General features: G+C 33.7%; 2 long non-coding RNA genes across 2 annotated transcripts in view; one reads left to right on the forward strand and one right to left on the reverse strand.

Moving 5' to 3' along the window:
- The window catches only part of LINC01194 (long intergenic non-protein coding RNA 1194), a 230,327-nt gene that overhangs the window by 192,258 nt on the left and 10,514 nt on the right, over nt 1-27,555 (forward strand). The gene's annotated exons all lie outside the window — the stretch shown is intronic.
- Nucleotides 17,301-23,879, reverse strand: LOC124900941 (uncharacterized). The gene is made up of 3 exons (XR_007058695.1): nt 23,734-23,879; nt 21,488-22,429; nt 17,301-21,352 (listed from the first exon to the last, which is right to left on the reverse strand). It is a non-coding gene; the product is annotated as an uncharacterized LOC124900941 (long non-coding RNA).

Genomic DNA, 27,555 nt, shown 5'->3' on the forward strand with positions numbered 1-27,555 from the left:
TTCTGGATAAAAATTCTTATATAATTATTGCAAACATCTACTTGTATCTTTTGATGATTAGAGTCTTCTTATTTATTGGTTCATTCATTTATACTCTTATTTATTTATGGATTTTAATGTGAACTACATGCAGTCATGAGTTGGATGTAACATTTACAGGATCCTGCCCTAGTTTGGCTAATGACATTTTGCTTAAGCAAACTTGATGAAATCAACTCTTCATGGACTACAAAAAGTTATTTAACTATAAACATTCCTAGACCATGAGATGGAATAGAAAAATACAGTATTTAGAAGAGTTGACTGTCTACAAATCCTTTATAATACCCTTCCTAAGAATCACTATTAGTATTTTAAATCTTCTTAATAGTTTAACAATTGTGATTTTCCAATTGTGAACCCAAATATGACATTGAAACACAATAGAGTATGAAGCTATCAAAGCCACATTTAATGTCTAGTTTTACCAACTGCATCAAAACACTTTATGGCTGCATATTACTGCTATTACTATCATTACTGCCACTGATATTACAGTCATTTCTGTATGGCCAGCTGCACTGTGCATACGAGCTCCTCAATGGATATACTTCATTTTTAAATCAAGGTCTACGATCAAAATATCTGAATAGAGAAAATAAACAAATAGAATGTAAATCCTCTACATCACTTTTAAACTCTAAGATAGTTTACTTGTACATGTTACAGGCCAGAGGAGACTGTTTTCTCCAATGAAATTCTATGTATGGTAGTAATTAATTCCAATGGAAAAATCTACTGGTAAATGGCCAAATCATTCTTAATTGAAAATGATGTCAATATTAAATTATTTGTATGAAGACCAATGCACCAGAAGAATTACTGACCCTTAAAAGTTCTTAGCTTAAAAGATAAATAGATTCCTTCTGACTGAAGCAAGTTTCTCAACAGTGACTAGGAAGACAGGACAGGGTTTCCCTCATGAAATAAAGGCATTTACAAAGACTGAGGCATATCATCAGACCTCTATTAGTTTACTCTTTTATTCAGCATTTTTTAAAGTTTGTAACACACTAGGAATTGTTCTGAGTTAGACTGAAGTACAAAATGAAGTCTCAAAAATAGACGTGGATGTGAGACATGCAAAAGGAGAAAGTGCATTCAATTTCGGCAATAACAGTAATGTGTGGGCAAATCCATAGTGGGTGAGTTTGTGATTGACTAGATATTACCTTTGCTTATCAAGCCTGCGTTTGAGAAAACAAAAATATTTCCAGCTTTTACTTGTAGAAGCAATTTTTTTTTTTCAGGAAAAATACATAGCTAAGTAAGGTGCTTAAATTAAATTAGTTACTACTGATCTGTTTGGAAAGAGGCAAACACTGACTCTTCCATAAGCAATTATTTGTTAATTTTAGAATTAGTGTTTAGATGAAAAGTGTTGTTGAATGTTAAAATGAGTACAATTAGAGCATTTGTTTCAGAAATGTCAAAATTCTGAGAATATTTAAAACATTTAATTATGAGCTGAGATGGACATACCTAACATAAGGCACACATTGCTAGTATCCTTTATGTAAAAGTGCATACAAATATAAGCCAAATAGAGAAATACTAATATTAAAGTCATTTTGGAAAATAAACTAACACCTATTGATTATGAAAGCTGATTTACAAGAATTGTAAGAATCCTGAAACATAAATGTCAATTGCAGATTCAAAGCACACTAGCAGGAAGGAGGAAACAACCCAGCTTGTCTCTCTGGAGGGGCTCAACCTTCTCAAGTACAACTGCCCAATTTTCCCTTTCTTCTGAAATAAGGTCGCTTCTGGTTTTGAAGTAAGAAAACAAAAATGTGCGCAGAACTTTGTTCTCAGAAGAGGGAATTTTGGTTTGGATCTTGCTATAGTTTGAATGTGTCACCAAAAGTTTGTGTGTTTAAAACTTAATCCCCAATGCAACAGTTCTGAGAGGTGAGATGTTGTAAAGGTGATGAAAATTCTGTTCTTATGAATGGATTGCTGCCACTATCTCGGAAGTGGGTTCCTGATAAAAGAATGAGTCTGGCCATCTTCCCTTCTTTCTCTGTCTGTTATACTCTCTTGCTTTTCTGCATTTCATCATGGGATGACACAGCATAAAGGTACTTACCAGAGGTGGTCCATCAATCTTGGACTTCCCAGCCTCTAGAACCATGATCCAAATAAATTTATGTTCTTTATATATTAGCCAGTCTCAGGTATTATCCTATAGCAGCACAAAATGAACTAAGACAGTTCTTCCTACTTTTATATTACAATATGCATGCAGAGAGAAAAATATCTGCCTAGCTCTCTTTCATACTCCAGCCGGATATGCTCTGTTAAACCGTGACTTACAAGTATACTTACCCATTTAGACAGACTGAATATGTCCTGCTAAATATATTTTTGTCAAGATAAAAACTCTCTAGTATCACACACTTAGCAAATATTATTAGCATTTACAAATAGGTCCATCTTTTGAGTTTGTCATTGCCTACAGAGTCCCCTAGGAAGGTGCACACTACTATATCTTCCCTAATTTATAAAAGAAGATGGGGCCGGGCGCGGCGGCTCACGCCTGTAATCCCAGCACTTTGGAAGGCTGAGGCGGGCAGATCACAAGGTCAGGAGATCGAGACCATCCTGGCTAACACGGTGAAACCCCGTCTCTACTAAAAATACAAAAAATTAGCCGGGCATGGTGGTGGGCGCCTGTAGTCCCAGCTACTCGGGAGGCTGAGGCAGGAGAATGGCATGAACCCTGGGGGGCGGAGCCTGCAGTGAGCCGAGATCGCGTCACCGCACTCCAGCCTGGGCGACAAGAGCTAGACTCCGTCTCAAAAAAAAAAAAAAAAAAAAAGAAGGTGGTCAAAACTTTAGTCAGCATGTTGGAAAAAAAATCTTACTCATTATGAAGTAATAGCAAATTACAACAATAGTTTTCTAATACCAACTATTAAATCAATCATTTTTGTTTTGTTTTTTATTATGACCCCATTTCAGATATCGTGTAATGCTGGAAAACTATTTTACAATTTGGATAAGCATTCTTAAAAATTCTCCTAAGATTTAACCTGGTGATTTTACTCCTAGAATGTTATCAAAGATAATTATCAGTAAATTTGTGAATAATGACAAAAGAGTCCAACATGATCTTAACATTAATGTGTCACAAATTAAAGATGGCTAAGTATATGGTGCTTTTATCTAAAACTAAATTTTTCTACCATTTGAAATGTTTTGGAGACTTACTGACCCAAGGGTATGCTCATGGCATAACTTGTAGCAAGACCCTTTAAAAGTCTTATAGCTTTGAGTCAGTAGTTCATCTAACCTGAAAGCTATCTAATTAAATATAGAAACATCGAAATATACTAAAATATCTCAAATTATGTATTCAGTAGAAATAATGTGTCAAACAGTTGTAGAATAGTAATATAAAATTGCTAATTCCATACATGATAATAGAATACAGTTATTATAGTTGTTATGAAAAATTACAGTAATATTAGATGCTTATAATAAGGTTAACATTTTAAAAGTATACAAAAGTACACATAAGATAATTAAGTAAAATACATTTAAGATAAAATTACATGACATCTTTATAAAAATTGTATTTTAGAGAAAAATGGATGATTTTCTAGATAAATGTAAATTACCAAATGTCATCTCTTTGTAACAGTAATATCATCATAATTATTATTACATTGTAGAAGATATCCCAAGCTTTCTGTACAACATCTTAGTTAATCTACATAATAGGTTTGTTATTATAAAATAAGGTGACATTAGTGTCAAAGAACCTTTTATCACCATCTTTGGAAAGTGAAAGAAATGAAATCATACATTGCCTATGTGTTTCTTATTGTTAAAATAAAATACAGGTTCTTTTACAGAAGCTCATAAAAGAGTGACAGTAATACACATACTAAATGATTATGTAAATTCTACTATTAAAATAAATCAGCTTCCAACCAATTTCAATAAGCTTGTAAATTATTTGAGGTAGGATTTTCCTTTCTTTTTGTGTCAGGTTTATAAAAATTACTTAATCAGCACAAGGAAAGATCAATGTATATCCTTAGAAAAGTTTTATTTTATTTGTTTCACAAACAGGCAATTTGTAAAATATGAATCCAAAAATAAACGTGGATTTAATGTATAAAAGGTAGTAAAAATATATTTAAAATACCAACTTTCCATCAAATCTTATATATTGTCCTTTAAATACAAGAAATGAGTAAAGACATCTATCTATCTAGATAAGTAGATGTATAATGTGATTCTATTTTAGATAAATCACTCTGTACATTCAAACAAGAACATAAATGTTTTTTTACATGTGTCAGCTCTTAAAACCTGTTTGTGTACAAGGCTTGAAAAAATACGATCATAATAAATAAGACCAAAACTTTCATAACAATATTCAAAACACTCAGATTTTAATCTGAAATCACTCATCACCAAGAACGAGTTTTCTCAAACTGAATGAGAAAAGACAGTAAGTGGATGCCCACAATAATAAAGACATTAGAAGTATTTGGCTAAGACTCTATAGCAGACATCATAAATATGCTTTAATACTGAATCACACATTTGAAATAAATGAAAACATAATTATACTAAATAAATAAGGATTCTGAAAAAAGTAAAACATGAAGGATAAAAATTAAACTTTGAGGACTGAATAATATCATGACAAACGCTAATAATAAAATAACACTTAGTGGAAAGTCTCAATAGCATGAAATACTGAACATAAAAAATAATCAGTGACCTTGGAAATAGAACTACAGGTTGTCCCTGATTTACAATGATTTGACTTACAATTTTTTTTACTTTACCATGGCATGAAAGTGATACACATTCACTACACCCCTTGACTTACAATGAGGTTACGTCCAAATAAATCTACTATAGGTTGAAAGTATTATGTTAATTTATGTTATTTTCAACTAATAATGGGTTTATCAGAATGTAATTCCATCATAAGTCAAGGAACATTTGCTTAGAAATTATCCCACCTGAATAGTAGAGAAGAAACACGCTAAATAAAAATGAATAGAAACTCAGATATATGTGAGACTATAGCAAAATAATAAGTATTTGTGTAAATGAAGTCCTTTAAGAAAAGAAAAAAAAAAGGATGGTTCTGAATAAAGATTTTTTAAAATGGCTGAAAAATTTCCAAATTTTGCAAAAGACATAAAACAACACATTCAACAAATTCAGATTGACACCTGTGATGGTTAATATTGCCCGTCAACTTGATTGATTGAAAGATGCAAAGTATTGTTCCTGGGTGTGTCTGTGAGGGTGTTGCCAAAGGAGGTTAACCTTTGAGTCAGTGGACTGGGAGAGGCTGACTCACCCTCAATGTGGGTCAGCACTATCTAATCAGCTACCAGCATGACCTGAATAAAGCACGCAGAAAAAAGTGAAATAAAACTTGCTGAGTCTTCCAGCCTTCATCTTTCTCCCATGATGGATCCTCCTGCCCTCGAACATCAGACTCCAAGTTCTTCAACTTTTGAACTCTTGGACGTACACTAATGATTTGCCAGGGGTCCTCGGGCCTTTGGCCACAGACTGAAGCCTGCACTGTCAGCTTCCCTACTTTTGAAGTTTTGGGACTTGGGCTGGCTTCCTTGCTCTTCAGCTTGAAGACGGCCTATTATGGAACTTCACCTTGTGGTCATGTGAGTCAATTCTAATAAACTCCCCTTCATATATACATCTATCCTATTAGTTCTGTCCCTTTAGAGAACCCTGACTAATATAACACCTCAAAATTTCAAAATTCAAGGAAGGAAATAAGCTCCAAAAAGGATAGTTTCAGAACAATCTGTGCTGCACCATACTCAAACTTCTGAAATCTAAAGACAACAGAAAAAAATCTTGGCACATCAGTGTGATGTGAATGATGATGACCTTCAAAGATGTCCACATTCTAATCCTTAGAACCTGTGAATATCTTACCTTATATAATAAAAGGTGCTTTGCAGATGTAATTAAGAATATCGACTGGGGAATTTCATACAGGATTATCTGGATGTACCCAATATAATCAAAAATATCTATACGAGAGAGAGGCTGGAAAGTCAGAATCATGAATGGAAGTATAATGATGAAAGCAGATGTGGGAGCAATACCAATTCTGGGAAGGGCTCAAGTGCCAAGGAACATGGGCAGTTTCTGGGAATCTGGAAAGGACAAGTACACAGATTTTTCCCCAACAGATCCTTTAGAAGAAACACAGATTTTGTAAACTACTTTGGCTTTCTGACCTCCAATATTGTAAAATACGCATTTGTGTTGTTCTTTGCCATTGAATTTATGGTAATTTTTTATGGCAGCAATTGAAAACTAATGTAAGAGGAGGAAGAAGAACACTGTAATATGGGTAAAGGCAAGAGACTGTCCTTCTTGATCTTTTTAAAGTATGTTTGACTATGGAAACCAAAATTATAGCCCTGTCTTATACAAAATAATACACATAGTAATATTCTAGATAAAAATAAATGCTAAAAATAGTTTAAGAAACCCACAGGAAGGCAAAAAAAAAACAACCTAAATACACTCAAGAAAATACAGAAGCAGAAAATCAAACAAAAAGAAAAAATTGCAGATTGATGTCTTAAAATATAAGTGAATATATTAAACATAAATGATCTAGGCATACAAATTAAAAGGCAGAAACGGGCAGAGTGGACTACATAAAAATGATCAGTGTATGTCTTGTTTATAAGACACTCATTTTAAACAAATCAATACTTTATAAAAGAAGAGCAATGCCCAAATACATATCGTTTCACTGAATAATTCTACAAAGATTTAAAAAAAAAAAAACCAATTCTACACAATTTATTACAGAAAGCAAAAACACTTACAACTCATTTGTGAGTTTAGTATTATCCTGATATTAAAACCAGGCTATGACAGCACAAGAAAGAAAACTGTAGATCAATATTCCACATGAAAATAGATACTGATATCTTCAACAAAATAAGATCAGAAAAAAATTCAGAAATATATTAAAAATTGTACACCATGACCAAGGGGGATTTATTTCTATGGGAGCAAAGCTATATCAATAATTTTTAAAGGACAATTTAATTCATTATATTAACAGAGTTACAAAGAAATATTACACAATCATAGCATTAAGTGTAGAAAAAGTAATTGACAATATCATTCATGAAAATCTTCTAGCAAAATATAAATAAGGAAGGCCTTTTTCGAATTGATAAATAATATGTACAAAAACATCCTACAGGTAGCTTTATATTCAATGGAGAAAGACTTAATGGGAGAAACACTGAATGCATTTTCCCTGAGATTGTAAACAAGACAATGGGGTCATCTCTCAATATTCTCAATCAATTCAATTCTAGAAGCTCTAAAGACTTCAATATGGCCAAATAAATAAATAAATGAAGGGCACGCATGCTGCAATTGAAGATAAAAAAAAGTCCCGATTTGCCGATGACATAATTGTCTCCACTGAAACTCTCAACTAATATACAAAAACCTCCTAAAATAAATTAGGTCATCAAGGACACAAGATACAAGCAGGATACAAAATAAACATCCAAAAATAATTTGTATTTCTATATGCCAGCAATAATCACATAGATACTAAAATTAAAAATTTTATACCATCTTCAGTTGTTCGCACACACGAAGAAATGTTTTGTTGTAAATGAAATATGTAGAAGACTTGTGTATTATAAAGATGTGCAATGGTTATGAAAAGATCAAAGAAGATTTAAATAAAGAGAGACATATACTATGTTCATGAATTGGAAGACAGCACATGAAAGATGTTAATTCTCCATAATTATATACAGGTATAACCAAATTCATATCAGAATATCATTAAGATTTTTATAGATATAATGAACATTATTCTAAAATTGGTATAAAAAAGCAAAAGACCTGAAGAATTAAAATAATATTGAAAATTATGAATATAAAAAGAGGAATCAGTCTATCCATTTTTAGACTCACTATATACCTACAGTAATCAAGTTTGTGTGATATTGATGGAGGAATCAATACATAGATCAACAAAACAGAATAGAGAACTCAGAAATAGACCTATATGAATATGCCCAATTGAGTTTTGACAAAAGTGCAAAAGCAAAATCATAAAGGAAACATAACCTTTGCAACAAATGTTCTAACATTCGTTATAGCAATTGGACATGTCTCAAACTTTATAAAAAGATTAACTCCAAATGGATTACAGACAGAGTGGGAGAAATAGAGAGATGTTGGTCAAAAGATATGTTTCACTTATGTGATGTGAAAACTTTATAGAGATCTAATATACAGAATAGTGACTATAGTTATTAATACTGTGTTGACTATTTTAACTGTGCTAAGAGAGTAGATCTTAAGTGTTCTCACCACACACACCTGCTAAAAGGTTACTATGTGAGGTGACCAAGATGAATATGTTAGTTTTCTGTAGTAGCCATTACTCAATGTACATGTATATCAAAACATCATGCTGTACACCTTAAATTTATGCTTTTATTTTAAAAGTGATTGCAGACAAATGTAAAATGTGAAAAATAAAACTTTTGAAAATTAGGAGAAAGATATTTGAGATCTAGAGCTGGGTAAATAATTCTTTTGCTGTGCAGAAGCTCATGTCCTGCACATGTACCCCTTAACTTAAAGTAAAAGTTGGGGAAAAGAAAGAATTCTTATAAAAGGCACAAAAATCAAAGAAAACTTTGATAAGTCAGACTTCATTAAGAACATCGAAATATATTTTCACTGTGAATGAACCTTTGAAGAGGGATAAAAGACAAGCTGCAGGCTGGAAAAAAACAATTTCAAATTACATAGCTATCTAGATTTTACAGAGAAGTCTCAAAAGGCAACAGGAGGAAAATGAGAAATCAAATGAAAAAATTGGCAAAGGACGTGAAGAACCATTTTAATAAAGAAGGTGTATGGATAGCAAATAAGCACATGAAAAGATATTCCTTATCATTAGCCACCAAGGCAAGGCAAATTAAAACCGCAATGAACTATTACTACAGACATATCAGAAATGCAAAATTTAAAAACAAAATCAAACCAAACCAAAAAATGTGGCAACACCACATGTTGATGAACATGCAAAGAAGTGCAATCACTCACACACTGATGACTGAAATACAAAATGGTTCAGCCACCCTGAAAAACAATTTAAAATTTCTCAAAAATCTGAACATATCACTACCATATGAACCACAGTTTGATTACCATTTGCCAACAATAATTGACATTTATCCAAGAAAAATGAAAACGTATATTCACAGAAAACTTGCGCATAAATAATTATAGAAGCTTTATTTGGAAATAACTCAGATGTTTTTCAATGGATAAATAGAAACCCCACAAAACCATGGTATATCAATATCATAGAATATCTCCCAACAAGGGAGAAAAAACCACTCTTTATAAATATAAGAATCTTGATGAATTTTCAGAGGAATTATAGTAATAAAAGCCAATCCCAAAAGATATATTTTATGATACAATTTATATATAATTAGCAAAATGAAACTAGAGAAATAACAGATTAGTAGTTGCTAGGAGTTAAAGGGGGTGAAAATGGAAGGAAAGTGCTCGTAGATATAAGAGTAGCATAAAGGATGCTGTAGCGATGGAAGTGTTCGGTATCTTGTCTGTATTTTATGTCAAAATCCAGATTAAAATATAGTTCTATAGTTTTACAAGATGCAATCATTAGAGTAGATCTAATAAAAGGTACATAGTACTTCTGTATTATTTTTTACAACAGCATGGAAATCAGTAATTTTCTTAAAATAGAAAAAATAATTAAAAACATTAAAATCTTGTTTGCTTTTTAATTTGGTATTTACAACCATATTTCTCTAGTATTTACAACTCTATTTCTAAACCAAAAGTATGTAGAGCTATTTTTAAATTTTCATGTTTGAAATATATTTATACTATACCATATGAGGATTTACCTTTATTAAAATGTGTTTATAGTCACACATATAAACACATAAACTCACCGTCTTCATCAGTATTCTCAGCCTAAAGTTCACAGCAACTCATGGTTAAATCATTATTCACTCATTTCAATTATTTAATATAAAAATATTTTTATGATCAAGCCATGTTATAATTATTATTCCTCTGTAATCAAACTATTTCCTTTTCCCCGATATTAATTATTTTGGACATTTAGTTCTGTCATGAATTGAGAATGTTTGGCTACATAAGACATAAAGAATTTGTGGAAATCTAGCATGCATGCTGTGGAGGCAAAACAACTGTAATAGAAGGGTAGTAAATATGGATAACAGAATGGTGATGTAGGACCTAGAGATGGTAGGAAGTAAGTGAAAAGCAGGGAGATTGTGGCCTGAGATATGAATGTATCAGGAAATGACCACAGAGAGACTAGTCATCTGCCTCTTGCCAAACATTTCATGTACAATGCTGAAAGTGTATATTGACAAAAGTCCTTACTGAAGTGAAGCTAATCAGAAGAAAGGCTTCTTATCGCCAATATTAGGCTGAAAATCATCTTTCTCTCTGTCTCTCTCTCTTTCTTTCTTTCTTTTTTTTTTGGACGGAGTTTCGCTCTTTCACCCAGGCAGAAGTGCAATGGCAGGATCTCGGCTCCTTGCAACTTCAGCCTCCCCGGTTCAAGTGATTCTCCTGCCTCAGCCTCCTGAATAACTGGGATTACAGTGCCGGCCACCACACCCAGCTAATTTTTGTATTTTTATTAGAGACAGGGTTTCGCCATGTTGGCCAGGCTGGTCTAAAACTCCTGACCTCAGGTGATCCACCCACCGCGGCCTCCCAAAGTGCTAGGATTACAGGAGGGAACCACCGCTCCAGGCCTAAAATTCATATTTGTAAATCACTTTGTTAATATTGGACACTAAGGAGATTGCAATACAGACACTTACCTCTTCTGAACTGACATTCATGGTAATACACGCAACATTTACCTTGGTAGTTATTCTTGTTATATAGTGGGAGGTAAGGCTTTATCCTAGACAGCCTTTTAAGTTAGAAATGACAAACTATATCAATAAATTATATTGCAAGAAAATCAACAGGACCAGATGGCAGTCATTCAAACATTCTGCAGACTCTTTAAAATTAATTCACTGAGCTAAAGATAAAAATATGTATAATCCATCATTGACAACAGCTATCCTGCCTAAAGACTGGACATCAGCCAATCTTCAACGTCTATGCTGCCACAAAAGTAACTAACATAAGAAGCATATATAAAAACATTTGAAAGAGATTCTATGGTTTCATATAATAAAGTAAGCTTACATCCATTTTTCTGAAAATTGTCTTAGGAAATATAGTTTGTCTATATTTTCTATAAAGTCACATATTTATGTAGATAAATAGATAATGTGAGTTGTAATATGATAAAATTAGGCTTCATGTAAATGCAAAATCATTTGGCTAACCTAATTATCCAGGATAGTAGAGGATTGGTATGTTAAAAGGTAGACTTAAACTTGGTATAGTTTGGATACCATCTCTAAGAACAAGCTGTGTTAGCTTAACAGGCATGAGATTTTCTAGGATTTCTAAGTATACTGTGACAATACTGAGGGTAAAGGATTTTTCTAGAGAATGCTTGTCAGCAAACCTGTTCTTTTGTGAAAGCGGTGGACCCAGAGCATAATTTAAAGATGTATTAATATGGGATATTATCTGACTCTTTTTTAGAAACAAAAGTTATAAAGAGAATCTGTATATTTCTCCAAGTAGTATCAATGGTTTTCACAAATATGAGAATTGTTTTGCACTTGCAAAAATCCTATTTGCCATACAACAAATAATCATAGAAATCATATTCCCTCATGTCCACAGGTCATGTTCATAATCAAAGGAAAGGAGTTACACAGGAATAAGTCACTGGGGATCACTTCAGCACTCTGAAAACCACAAAGTTTACTTTGTTTCTAATATGCATTTACTCTTTGAAAAGCATAGTAAATTTATGTGATTGCAAAGTAAAAACAAAACTTTCTTGATCCCACTCTCCAATTTTAAGTTCTAATAAAAACAGTTAAAACTGTAAAACAAAGAAATACATAAAGGTAGGAGAAAGTAAAATTATTCTTTACATTATAATGTCAACTAACATGTGGAAGAAATGACAGTTAAACTCATTGTAATAAGATTTTGATATGTATCAATGGATGTTCAAACATTAGATGAATGTTTGTTGAAAACAGGATCAAAATTGCTCCCCGTAAATGACTTATCAAATTCTAAGGGAAGGAAGGAAACTGTGTGTGGGAAAATCTGATGGTCACTTCCACACCAAGGTTACCAGCATCAATGATGGCGTGCACTGATACCAGGTGTTCCTTGATGTATCATTTTACACTGAAAAGGATACAGCTTCAAGTATATTATATTCCTGCCAAAAATTAATTACCTGGATCTAGTTAGGATAAAATATGCAAGCAAACACAACTTGTGGGACCTTCTATAAAGCTCTTGGCCTCTACAATTCAGAAATATCAATGTGAAAGGCTGAAAAACAGTTCCAGAATAAAGTATGCTAAAGGAACATTAACATTGAAAGTAAAATACATTTTTGTGTTGGAACTGGAGTTGAATAAAAATTGCTATGAAGGAGGTTTTAAAGGTAATTAATAAAAGTTAAACATGAATTTGATGAGAATTATAAGTATTGCATCCATGTAAATTACGTGAATTTGATAAATGCCTTGTAGTTTCATAAGAGAATGTTCTCCTAGTTCCTAGGATATTCATACTAAAGAATTTAAGGGTGAAGGATCATGTTATCCAACACTTAATTTTGGATGTTTCAACATAAATATTAATAATCCTAATAATATGTATATATTTATTGATAAGTAGGAATAAATAAGGAAATGTTAGAAATCTGTAAATCTAAGCAAAGTTTAATCCATTTTTATTGTACTATTCTTACAGTTTTTATTTAGGTTTGATAATTTTCAAAATAGAAATCAAATAATAAAAGTCTGTTTAAAAGATTTAAAATATTCCCAAAACACAATTGGTTCCTTTCCAGTTGAAATAAGAGCTATTTTAACCCCTTCTGGAAAATATTAATTGAAAAAATAGTGAGAAACTTACACTGAGAACCCTAGAAAAATGTATGTTGACATATAAGGGAACAAAATTAGAGAAAAAGAGAAAACAAAAGCAAAGGAAGATAAGTGCAATTGGAGTACACACAATAATTATGTTATTTTTGTTTAAAAACAAATTTGTCCCTTTGTACTATTAATCTCATATCAATACAACAGATTTTATAAGCAGAGCAGTGAATATATTTCAATGGAAATCACATATACGACAGTTTTATATGCACTTTGGACAAACTCTGCCCCAAAGATAAAATATAGCATCTGTTTCACTATGCATTGAGGAAATGCAGAACAAATTTAAAAATGAGGCAAAGTATTATATTCTGCCAATCTATTTAATCACTGCTTCTTTTGGTCTTTATTTTTTAAAGTTAAAAATAAGCTGTTCACATGTGGACATGGAGACACAAGAAAAATGTACGTTATGTCGACATATGTATGCTTAGTCACATTTTGGAGCATGCGCACTGTTGCTACAAGAAGTAAATTGCATCATTATTGGTAAAAGTCAACGAAAAACATTCAATTTAAAATAAATGCCGGGCTCTGGGATTTCTTCACCAAAATTTTTAATAATTATTTCTATTGTTAGTAAAAATTTACTAAAACACTAAAAAAGAGTATTAATAATAGAAATATTCTAGTATCTCAGATATATTTATACTAATGATATTACTAATGAGATTACATTTGCTATAAAGTCACACTGTACTACAACAAATAGAGCAAAAATCCCTCCCTCATAGTAAGTAGAAAAACCTATTGTTCTTGTCCAGATGAGCACCCTGTTTCAGGTATGCAAGTCTGTTGCTTAAAACACTGAAGAGACGATGTCCAGGGGTTGTTGACCCAGTGATGGTGTTGGTGTTTCAGAGTCAAACCTTGATGCTATGCGGTAGCTTTTACTCTTTGGCTACTCTTTAGCATATAGCAGTATTCTTTCATCCCCTTCCTCCCTTCCCTCTTTTTCTTCCTTACTTCCTTTCCTCCTTTCCTTCTTCTCCCCTCCTTCTCATTTGACCATATCCATTTGGCCACAGTGAGCTGTCAGTTAAACTAACACTAGATGACACACAGTGACCTTGCTTTGATGTCTCTTTGATTGCTGGCTTTTGGCTGAGATACTTTTCATACAACTTTTCGTGTGACTTCACCAGCAGCCTAGCTCAGGGTAAAAATGTTCCAATAGAGCAAGAGCAGAAACTACATGTCCTCTTGAAGTCACGGCTTAGAACTTACAATTTGTCATTTCTGCCTTATTGTATTTCTCAAAGCAAGTAACATGGCCATCCCAGATTTAAATGATGGCAAAAAAGACTTGATGGGAGAGACTACAAAGTATTTTCTGCCATCTGTAACCTGGTATAATGCCTCTTCTACAGTGGATGCTACCTGGCGAGTGTGGAGACTTTCACCCATCATGTCCCTTTCCACTAATGCATTCAAATGCTTCTTTCTTAGGCTTCTTTGTTTCTAATTGTCTACTTGCTCCTTCCAGGACTCTGATAATAAATTGATAATTACTTTTAAAAAGCTAAGCCACACTCAGTTCCTAGAATTCCAGGAATATCCCTACCTCAGGCCACTTCTCCTTCCTCACAAATTTCATGGCCAGAAACACTGGTCAAAGTCATGTGTACTAGGAGCATTTTGGGGCCACCTAGATTGGGGCAGTGTGTCCATTCTGGTAGCACACAATCATATCAAGTTGATGTCTCCATAGAACAGAACTGTAATTTTTCCCTCTGACATCTGCTGCTCTTAAGGATCCTCTCGCAAGGCTACAGAATGAGATAAATTAAATAAACTGTTCCTCAGAGGGCATATATGTAATACATGAATACTCCAGACTTGATCAGACTTGAAGCCAAAACCACTGCTATTTCATTGGGCTATGGAGTACTATGGTTCCCACTCAACTTTAGGACTGGCTGGGCTGAAAATTTCCAGTTTATGATGAGCAATACCAGTTGTAGAGTCTTTTAATGGCCTTTGTTTAGGTATGCTGTCTACTATGGCAAGCATGCCTGGAGCTGCTTTTTATATCATGGAGAGCTTTTTACATCATGTAGACTCTATATACTGCTACTTAACAGAGAGCAGTGGTTCATGATGGAGCTTTGGTTCATCTGATATTAATAAGTTGGCCCTGTAGCCAACATCCCTAGGAAAACCTCTTTATGTTTTTGACCCTTCTATCAATATTCTTATGAAACAATTCTGATATTTCCACTAAAGTGTTAAGTATAGATATTATATATAATATTTATTATATACATACACATATATATCTATTTATATACACACACAAATACAGAGAGGGAGAAGAAGAGGGTGAAGGAGAGAAGAAGAGAAAAAGAAAGACAAAGAGAAAGAGAAGTAGGGAGAAAGACATAAACTTTAAAGAGCCATCCTAGAAGTGTTTTAGGACTATCTCCAGGTGTCCTGTTCAGAACTTTATATCCTAAGTTATCTGAGTTATGGGAGCATGCTCCCACATCAATATTTTTATATTATTTTACTTTAGGGATATGTTCTAGAAGAGTTTCATTCTTTATTATCAAGATCCACTTTTTGCATTTTCTCTGATTCTTGGTCCACATTTGCCAAGCCCTGAAGTTATTTTGGTGGGGCAGGAACACTTTCTCCAATTGGTTCAGCTAGTTCATCCTTCCATAATTAATTATGGAGGTACAATTCAAACAGATTTTGGTGAGATAAAATATCATCGTGTGAGACAGACACTTCATCTGAGAGCTTCATGTACTTTTCAGTCTGCCATTCCTAACAGAGAAGACAGAGTTATTTCTTCTAGCCCAGAGGTGGACAGTTGGAAACTGCTCATGAGTTATGAGAATGTTAAGAGTGGTAAGACCAAGGGAAATTTGGCGACTGGGGGACCTAAAGTGCATCCACCCAAACGCCAGCATACCAGGTCCCAGGGTTTCCTCACTTACCTCTCAGGGACCCCATTCTAGCATAAAACATATCCTTGTGATTCACATTTAACCTTTTTTCTATAACTCTTATACTCACAAAATCAGTGGCTGGAATTCTTATCAGTGCAGTTTTTTTCCTGGCTCCAGGAGATGAGCGCCTTTGTCACGGAGGTGTTCTAGCTTTCACACCAAGCCATGAGTTTGTGGTTACCTAACATAAGCCTATTATTTCCTTCCTTCACAGTATTTGTGGTCCTTAGCTACAATCAAAAACTCTGCAATACTTAAAATTACTTTTTTGCATCTCAAGCACTATGGATATTACATAGGTCCGTAAATGCTTCCAGTTGTATGCTGTACATCTCAGTTCACAATATGTAATAGTCTTCAGAATTGTAATGCTATATATGACATGTCAAGGAGTGTCACCACCCTATCTAAAAGCAGCAATGAGTCCCTGACTGCCATCTGGCCAGCATAATAGTCAATGTCACAATCCCATTCCGAAGATCTGCTTCCTAGGACAATACCAGTTGTCTTAGTTGAGATTCCCCTAAAGATACCCACAAAGTTTTAATTACAAGTAGCTTATTTAAAAGGTAATCCCAAGAATCACTGGCACAGAATAGGGAAGAGTAAGGGAGAAACCAGTGGCCATGCAGTAGACTGTACATTGTCAATAAATTACTTTCATGAGTACTTGGAGCTTAATCCCACCAAAGAATTCTGAAAGCCAGTGTAGAAGCACCTGCCTAAGAATGAGCCCACTGGAGGATTTACTCATTAAGTGTTTTCACTCATTGTTTGAGGGCTACTGGAGAAAAGTCTGGGAATAATAGTCATTATTTCCTCACCATTTCAGTCTGGTATGGACTGAACTGTGTCTCTCTAAATTCATATGTTGAAACCTTAATCTCCCATGTGACTATCTGGAGATAGAGTTTTTCAGAAATAATTAAAGTTAAATGAGGTTGTAAAGGTGGAGCCCTAATCCAATAGTATTATTGGTCTTATAAAAAATAGGAAGAGAGAAAGAGCTTGTTCTTTCTCTCCACCATGCGAGGACACAGCAAGAGGGTGGTGGTCTGCAAGCCAGGAAGAGAGCCCTTACCCGAAATCAAGCTCTATTTGGACTTTGCAGTCTCTAGCACTATGAGAAAATAATTCATAATTGAGTCACCTAGTCTATGAGATTTGGCTGATTAAGACACAGGTCTACTACGCATGAAGGGCAAAAAGATATCTTTTGTCAGAGGTTGACTGTGGGAAATTGGACAAGGGTGACAAGAACGTTAAGGGCAAGTGTGACAAAGACTATGGGATATTAGTGTGGTACTGACAGCCTCTGTTACAACTATCATAGGAAAATTGTATACATTCATGGATATTTTACTTCAAGCATCTTATACATGTAAGGATGGCGTTTACTCAAAAAAATGATGTTTTATGGGGATAGGTGCTCACTGTCTACCACAAGATTTCAACAAGTACAGAGAGGTCTTGTTAGGCTTAGCATTAGCTGAACCTTTTGCATAATATGACAAACAGTTTGATAATGTTAACAATTTAGATACTAAAATAATTAGTACTGAACCTATTTAAATATACAGTAGGATAATAAGGATAGATAGTTTTAATGATCCAATCATTGTTTAAAATTGCAAAATCAATTAGTGTTTTTTATTTGACAAGACACTCTGTTTTCCTATTGAGTAGTGTGATTTATAATAATATAAACTATTGATTATATGTTTTAGTCATTCTAAGTAATTAAGACCCAGGAATTGTAATAGAAATCTAATTCATTGTTTTCTTATTCAAATTAAGAGCCCACTTTATTATAACAAACCATGCTGATAAACTGGTACACTCATGCTGTAAATTATACTACATTATGGAATCTGCAAAACACACTTCCATGGACCTATACCTCTTCCCAAGTATTATCTATACTTTATACCAATTATTTTCTGATATTTAGATCTGAAGACCTAATTTGATTCAGTTTCCATTTCTAGAAAAAATGCTTTATACCTGAACATGTGAAATTTCAACAAAACCTACCCACTATTCACTGGTCCTTGTTTTATGGATGATTACCCCACTCATGACTATTGCCTACAATCTATATTTCAAAAAGGCTTGAAAATAGTGACATTCAAATTATATCATGCCTTATTCACTTATTAACTAAAATTATTTGTTTTTTAGATTTAATAATCTGATCCATTTGGGATTTATCTGGGATATACTGTGAGAAATTGATATAGTTCTTTTTCCCAAATGACTAGCAAGGTATCTCAAATATTCCTTATTGTAAAACCTAATTTTTCTTCATTTTTTTGAGGTAATGTCTTTTTATACTCTAAATTTTGAAATGTAGTAGTGTTCACTTATGGAATTTCTGTTCTGTTCCATTGGTCTGCTTTCTTGTAGGCCAATATGACAATCTTTTAAATGTAGAGACGTCATAATACTATTCCATACCTGGTAGATTAGCACACCATAATTGCTCTTACATTTTAGGAAATTTGTTACTCTCCTTGACTGTTTGTGATTCCAACTATAATTAATAATCAGCTTGCTTCCGAACAAAACTTGATGGTATTTTTAGTGGTAATGCATTATATTTATAAATTAACTTTTGGGCAACTGATAACTTTATGATATTTTCTTTCTGTGCAAGGATATAATAGGTCTTCAAGTATAATAGTGAGCCTTGATAAATTTTTTATGGTTTTCTAGATTAGGAATATTTCCCATTAAGCTTATGACTAAGATTTTGTCTGCTCATTTTTTTAAGTTAAATAATTTTGTTTTTGAGCAGATTTAATTTTACAGAAAAATTGACTAGGAAATATTGACACTTCCCCTATGTCTTATCATGACCTTCAGTTTCTCCTATTTTGTCTTACATCAGTCTGGCATATTTGTTATAAATAATGAATTCATATTGATATGTCATTGTTAAAGTTTATAGTTTACATTAGAATTCACTCGCTGTGTCATACATAATGTAAGTTTTGACAAATAAATAATGGTATTTGCCCACCATTACATAATCCTCAAAATAGTTTCATTGTTCTGAATATTCCCTGTGCTTTATCTATGCATCCCTTTTTCCTTCCAAAATTTTGGAAACCACTGTTTGTTTTACTCCCCATGGTGTTGCCTTTTCCAGAATGCCACATAGGTGGAATCACATAATGTGTAGTCTTTTCAGACTGGTTTCTTCCACTTAGAAACCTGCATTTAAGTTTCCTCCATGTCTTTTCATGGCTTGATAGATCATTTCTTTTTATTATGGAATAATATTTCATTTCCTATATGCACTACCATCTGTTTATTCATACACTTATTGAAGGAACATATTCCTTGCTTCTAAGTTTTGGTAATTGTGAGTAAAGTTGCCAAGGAGCACCATTTGTGGTCATATGGAAAGAATATGTTTAGTTTTTTAAAAGCCTATCAACAGCCTTCCAAAATGACTGTGCCATTTAGCATTCCTCCCATCATTCCTTGTTGCTCTGCATACTTGCTACTTTTGGTGCTGTCAGTGCTTTAGATTTTAGCCTTTCTACCTGATAGGTGTGTAGTAATATCTCATTTTATTTTTAATTTTTTGCTTTTGTCTTGTTTCCATTAAAACTAATAGCCACTTCTTGCTTTGTCTATATATGTTTTATTGGTTTTATGTTAATTTTACCTAAAGTATTTATCTAACATCACTTTCATTATTTTTTTAGAATATTTTGGTGGTCAAGATGTATAATTATGCTGTCTAACTAGATTATTTTACCTCTCCTTTTGAATTTATTTTGCCTCTAGTTGTTTTCTCTCCTCTAGTCAGTTTGTACTGACCAGTATAGTCATAATGTTAAATAAGCAGAGGACCCAGAAGGCATCATTAGTCATTACTTTTATGATAAGTACAAAGTGTATAGTTGTATATACACATGGACTACGTATTTTAATGTATTTTTTATAATTTTTTTCTTATTTGTCTTGTTCTTGATTGAAGCATTTATGTATGCATACATATATGCTTCATAATAAGGAAGTAGCTCCCCATTCTTATCTGAATAAGTAAGTTATATTTATTTAGATTATTCAAAGGCATGATAAAACAGAAAATTCCAAATTACTTTTATCTAAGAAATATAATATTTATCCCCAAACCTGCAACAAAAAAATTAGTGACAAACAGTATTTTAAACAATCAATCATGTAAATATATTTACTAGAGTATTAGGGAAAATGATTACAAGACAACATTTAGACATAATATGTTATAATCACTTGAGTTTTAATGCAGGAATTCAAAAGATTTTAGGAAATCATAATTCAATTCATAATAGTATAGGAGCTGAGGAGAATAAATTAAATTGATAATCTACGAGATACAGAAAAGTATCTGAACTTAATTTACACTTCTGAAATCACTTAATTTTGCTTATATCTGGTCCTTCTACTTTGTTTGGCTTTGCTGCTGTTTTCTGACACTGGTGTTTATAGTTATATAGTATTATGTTGATATATGTGTCTAATACTATAATATTCCTCTGATACCTGATTTTGCTGAATTCCTTAGATTGTAGTTTATTAGCTTTGCATTATCATTACACTTTAAAAAATTATAATTTACCTAATTTTTTTCTTTGAATCAAGGGTATTTAATATAGCATCTTTATTGGTGCTTATATATTTTAAATTTTTGCAGCAAGTAGCATTTTGATTTTGTTATTAATTTATCCTATTTTTATCCACAAAATTTATTTATATTATTTCTTTACATTTCTTGTGTTGTTCTTTTCAGTCAAGCTGTTAGAAAACTTTTGTGAATCTTCCAAGTATATTCCAAATATAGTGGTTATTTTTGTAACACACAAATTTTCATCTGAAAGTATATTGTTTTAAGCAACAAATCAAATTTTAGTGCGAGTACAGCATTCCTTCCCCCGCAAAAAAAAACTCTACTCCAGAAAAAGAACAAAGAGAAAGAAACTCATATAAAATACTAAGTAATCAAAGCAGCACATATAAAAAGTCTTTCCTTTTTGAATTTGTCTTTATTTCTCCTTGAATCTTTTGCTGTTTCATCTTTATATCAGTTGTCGCTATGTACTGTGGATTGTAGCCTTTTGCATTATAAAGTATCCAGTTTTGTCTCTTCATTCTTTTGATCAGATTTCTACCTTTACATATAAAGGCATAACTCAGAGATACTGGGGGTTTCATGGTAGACCACTGCAATAAAGCACATTTCAAAAAAAAGGGAATCACATCATTTTTTAAATTTTGTAGTGTATACAAAGTTATATTTAAAGAACATTGTAATCTATTAAGTATGCAATTGCATTATATATCAAATTATTTACATACCTTAATTAAAAATACTTTATTGCCAAAAATAGTAATGATCATCTGAGCCTTGAAGGAGTCATATATTTTTTTTTTTGCTGGTGGAGAGTTTTGCATCGATGTTGATGGCTACTAACTGATCAGCCTGGTGGTTGTTGAAGATTGGGATGGCTATGAAATCAGGAATGATTTTTCTGTAACATGCAATGCTGTTTGACAGCATTTTAACCACAGTAGAACTTCTTTCAAAATTTCAGTCAATCACCTCAAACCCTGGTGGCTACTTTACAAATAAGTTTGTGGAATATTCAAAATCCTTTATTGACCTTTCAACAACGTTCACAGAATCTTCCCCAGGATTGGATTTCATCTCAAGAAATCATTTTCTTTTCTGTCCATAAGAAACAACTCTTCATCCATTCAAGCTTTATCATCATATTGCACCAATTCAGTCACATCTTTAGGTTTCATGTTTAATTCTAGCTATCTTTCATATGACTAATCTGACACATCTGTAGTTGTTTCCTCCAATGAAGTCTTGAACCCCTCAAAGTCATTCATTAGGGTTGGAATCAACTCTTTGTCCCAGATCCATCAGAAGCATCACTATTTATCTCAGCTATAGCTTTGCAAAATGTATTTCTTAAATAATAAGACTTGAAAGTTGAAATTACTTCTTCATCCACTGGCTGCAGAATGGATGTTGTATTAGTAGGCATGAAAGCAATATTAACCTCCATGTACATCTCCATGAGAGCTCTTGGGTGACTAGGTACATTGTCAATAAGCAGTAAAATTTTGAAGGGAATCTTTTTCTTTTTTCTTTTTGCCTGAGAGGTAGGTCTCTGCAGTGGGTTTATAATACTCAGTAAACCATATTGTAAAGAGATGTGCTGTCATCCAGGCTTTTATTTTTTTCCATTTATATAGCATATCAGAGTAGAATTCGCATCACTGTTTTCCCTAGGATTTTTAAAGTGGTCAGTGAGTATTGGTTTCAACATAAAGTCATAGCTACATTAGTTCCTATCAAAAGAATCAGTCTGTCCTTTGAAGTTTTTAAGCCAAGCATTGGCTTCTCTCTAGCTATGAAAGTCCTAGATGGCATCTCCTTCTGATATAAGGCAGTTTTGTCTACATTAAAAAATCTTGTTAGTGTAGTCACCTGCATCAGTGATGTTAACTAGATCTTTTGGATAAGCTGCTGCAGCTTCTCCAGCAACACTTGCTGCTTCATCTTGCACATTATGTTATGAAGATGACCTCTCTCCTTACACCTCATGAACCAACCTCTGCTACCTTCCAACTTGTTTCCTACAGCTTCCTCACCTCTCTTAGGCTTCAATAAATTGAAGAGAGTTAGCATCTTGCCTGGAATTAGGTTTTGGCTAAACAGAGTGTTGTGTCTGGTTTGATAGTCCATTGAGAACACTCAAACTTACTCTACATCAGCATAAGGCTGTTTCAGTTACTTATCATTCATGTGTTCACTGGAGTCACACTTTTAATTTCCTTCAAGAACTTTTCCTTTGTTTTCACTGCTTGGCTAACTGTCAGGTATAAGAGACCTAGCTTTCAGTCTGTCTCTGCTTCTGTCCTATCTTAGCTTTCAACATGCCTTCCTCAATAAGCTCAATCATTTCTATCTTTTGATTTAAAATGAGGGGCATGTGACTCTTCCTATCAGTTGAATAGTTAGAGCCCACTGTAGGTCTATTAATTGGCCTAATTTCAATATTCTTCTGTTTCAGGAACTAGGGAGGCCTGAGTAGAAATAGAGAGATGAGGGAGAGAGCTGTCAGTGGGGGAGCAGAAAATAAACATGTATTGATTGAGTTCACCATCTTATATAGGTAGAATTTTTGGTGCCCCCAAACCATTACAATAGTAACATCCTAACAAGAATACAGCAAAAAAAACTAACATAACTCTCACTCTAGTTGTGTTTAAGAGGTCTTTACCCATACCTGCATGTAGACTAGGATAATTTTAGAGCACTGAGATAATATGCAAAAACAGCAATCATGTAGTTTTTAAAACTAACTCTGAGATTAAAGAGAAAGTATGAAAACAGCTAACTATGTTTTGTTACAGATATATATGAGCATTGTGATCTGACCAAGGTTAAAGACATTCCCAGTCTACTCAAACCCTCACTGGTGCCCAGATGTCTGTGGTTGTTGGTCACCTCTTGATAACAACCTCTTTCTCTTTGCCCACCCTTAACATAAAAAGACCCTGAAATATGTTTTGACTTAAGACAGCACCTTAGGATACTAGTCCACCATCTTCTCAGATTACTGGCTCTCCAGATAAACCTGCTTTCTTCCCGCCATCGCTCCTCTCCTGTGTTTGGCTTTTGACAGGTGAGCAGCTGAACCTGGGTTTGATGACAACATCGAGGGTCACTGATCACAGATCACCATAACAAATATAATAATAATAAAAACTTTGAAATTTTGCAAGGATTATAAAAATGTGACACCCAAACCGAAAGTGAGCACATATGTTGGAAAATATTTGAAGAACATCTAAATATATTAATAGAATAAAAAATCTATAATCCAAAACAGCATAATTAGAAAATAATAGACATTTTTAATAAAGATTGAGAAAAAAGATGTGAAGAAAATATCATACAGACCCACTTGCAATTTGAAATTATAGAAAATATTTCATCAATGAAGACTAAATTAAAACACAAAAGCTAAAAACCCAGTGTAAGCCATAAAAATATAAGAGAGAAGGAAAATATAAAGAAATGAATAGAAAACATAAAACTATTTCAAAAATTCTAAAGAATTAATTAATTTGTAGAGGTTGAAAATAAATTATAGATTAAGACTTACTAGAAAAACACATGTCAGAGAATGGTGGATGAGTAATGGAGGGAAACATGGTTTCCTTAGTAAATACTTCTTGTCTATGCTACATTCCTTCTTGCTGGTCTTCAAATATTTTTGTGTGTCCTTTTTCCCACACAAAGAACAAACTTAATCCATGCTGGGAAAAATAGTCCAAAAGTTTCATCCTGTCAGTTCATCTAGCTTAATGCCCAGGATTTGATTCTTACACAGCATACTTTGTTAATTGTGCTTTGGTGATACTGCTCTTTCTATAAAATGAAGGTTTGTGCAACTCTGTGTCCAACAAGTCTATTTTTCCAATGCATGTTAAAAATGTTAGAGCAAGTTACACCTTCAGGTGTAATATTGAAGTCAAATGTTTTCTAACACCACGTTTAAATCCATCACTATCATTAATCACAAAACCTCACCTTTGCCACAGATAAGTTGCGGTTAGTACAATTCCTGAAATTAATCAGCTTCAGTAATGGCCTAGAAAATCACCTTTTAAAAAATGTCTGCAATGACTGCCAGTGTTTTTCATCTGGTTTATTATAGTGCCCAGTAGTTCATCAAGTTTTGGGAAGACTATTTAAAGTGGCACTCTCCACCACCCGTCATCTAAAAGAAGGTGCTCATTTTCCTTGTTTCATTAATTATTTGCAAACAATTACAAAACTAAAATCTTTCTTTCTGGAAACTTCTCAGTGGTTGGGTGTCTCCCAACTATATCATGACTTTATGTCTCTGATCCTCACCTTCATGACTAAGATAACCTTGTCTCTGCCTGACAGAGGATGGATAGAATATACCCATGCTGCACTGTTAGAAGAAATGACCTTTACAATCTTAAGCAGTGAGAATATTAGTAACATAGATAATAACATATTTGCAATGTGACTCATACCAAACCTTCAAATTTTAGTTCTTCTAATACTGTAAGTGTGGATGGTATGGGGGTATGTACATGTGTGTGTGAAATCCTGTGAATCAGGCATGTATTGAGCTAAAATCAATTTAGTGAATACCAGTTCACTAAAAACCAATTGAACAAAATTTTGATTCACTAAAATTTTGTATATATTACATATTTATAAAGTTTATAGATTATTACTTCAACAGGTTTCAAATTGTTTTGAACATTCTTTTGAGGTTTCAATTTCCCAGTAGCTCTTTCATCTTAGCAACTGTGTTATATTTGTTTAGTAGTCAAAATTGTCCCTGTTTTATTGAATAAAATGATAAGAATATAATAGTATGTTGATTTCTGCTTCCAAATACTGAGCATATTTCAGATGCTTAAATGATATACAAAGTAGTGTTTCTATCAAGCAAGCTAAGAAAATGGTAAGTAAGAAAAAATAAGAAGACATTAAATATTGTGAAAATCTATTGGAGAAAGAAACTTGCTTCACGTATTATGCTTGAATTTCAAAAAATATCTATATAACTCTCATCTTGCAATGTCATATTTCCCAAAGTACTGAAAATTATACTCTGGAATTAACTAAATTTTATTCTGCAGTGGCAAAATTATTTCAGCTGTATTAATATTAATTATATTAAGCTATGTGATGATTTTAAAGAATATCACAGGTAGTAAAATATCCTAGACACAATGAATAAAAAAGTAGTTGAGAGGGTAATTTTGTGAATAAATTTTTGGTAATGACCATTTTGTAAATTAAAAATAACTAGCCTTTAATGGTCAAATATAATCCTATGTGGAGGTCCTATTTTACCACCCATAAAGATAAGTAAAGTGAGGCAGAAAGAGTTTAAGTAATTTGCCCAAATGCATTCTTCAAATAATGTGGAAGATTAGAAGCATGCCTTTAGAACTTGTACTATATTGCTACCTGATTTGTGCTGAATTGACTTTCTGTGACTTTCTCTCTCCCTAATTGGTCAGCTAACTAAATGATTTTTTGCAAATTGATTTCACTAAACAATTAGTACATAGTTAAGATTTTTGGACCTATAAGGAAAATAATATCCTATCACATGCTCAGTAAAAGTTTATAGTAGCGTATCATTTTCAATCTTTGAAGCATTTTGTCTTTCTATCTATATACCATCCATCTATCTATCACCAATCTGTTATCATTTATCTACTGTATCTAGAATGGTCCAAAGTGAAATAAAGCTGAGGTAGCAATTTCCAATATCAGTATAGGATAGATGGCTCTCAAGATACATCCAGTGAGGTAGGTAGGGGAATTGGAGTCACTGTATTTCACTTGAGGTTAAGCTCCTGCTTATAATTATAGATAATGTGACTATATAAGCAAACATACCAACATGTTTTCCATATGCCAAATATTAATTCATTATTTTTCAATAAAATACATATATCTTTTAAACAAAACCAACACTTTCATTTTACTAATTACAATATTTCACTATGGAAAGGCAACTTGGAAAACAGAAATCTCAGCTCAGGGGCAAAGGCAAACTCTCTTGAGAAAGAAGGTAGCCCAGAATCAAAGGCCAACAGCAGGTAAGTGCTAGGTGGTGGAGTTATGGGGAGGGGAGGCTTCAAAACTACTCAGGATTTCGGTTAATGGCTGGAACTTTGGGAGACCTCACAGGTAACCACAGGGCAGGCAGGCCATTCACAAAGTGGGTAGATGTTGATTCCTTCTGTGAGTCTTAGAGGATGCTCACAGAGGGTCACAGCTCAGGTGGTGTAGTGGGGTGCGCTGTTTTCTCTTTCGGCCTACTCTCCTGGAGGGGCAGGGCTCGGAACATAAAGCTCTGGCATCAAGGCACGCCTAAGGCTATCAGGGCTAAGAGTGGAGATAGATCTCAGGCCCAAAATCCTAGGGGAAGAGGAAGAGGAACTCTGCTCAGAAAACTTAGATGGGAGGAGGAGCTGGAAGCACCAGAGGAGGAGGAGCTCTCATTGCTGATGGATGGGAAGGAAGAACCTCCCAGGTGGAGAGGGTGAGGAGGCATGCATACGGACTGCATGCCAACCAGGCGGGGAAGCACTTCTTGGGACCTCAGGATCAGAAGAGCCTGAGCTGCTCTGAAAGGCCAGCTGTCCTAAGCCAGCCCCATGGGAAAGCGTGTTCTCATCAGCTGGCCCAAGCTGAGAGCGGCGGCTGAGAAGGGCTGATCTTCGCTGGGTGGAACGGCTCCGGAGGGCAGTGCCTGGCGTCATGCTGGTGCTGTGACGAGCAGGGCTTGACCTTGCTGTGCGGCCGCGAAGGGCAGGGCCTGGGGGGTTGCCACAGCGTT

This window comes from Homo sapiens, chromosome 5 (genome assembly GCF_000001405.40).
Source record: "Homo sapiens chromosome 5, GRCh38.p14 Primary Assembly".
Lineage (NCBI taxonomy): Eukaryota > Metazoa > Chordata > Mammalia > Primates > Hominidae > Homo > Homo sapiens.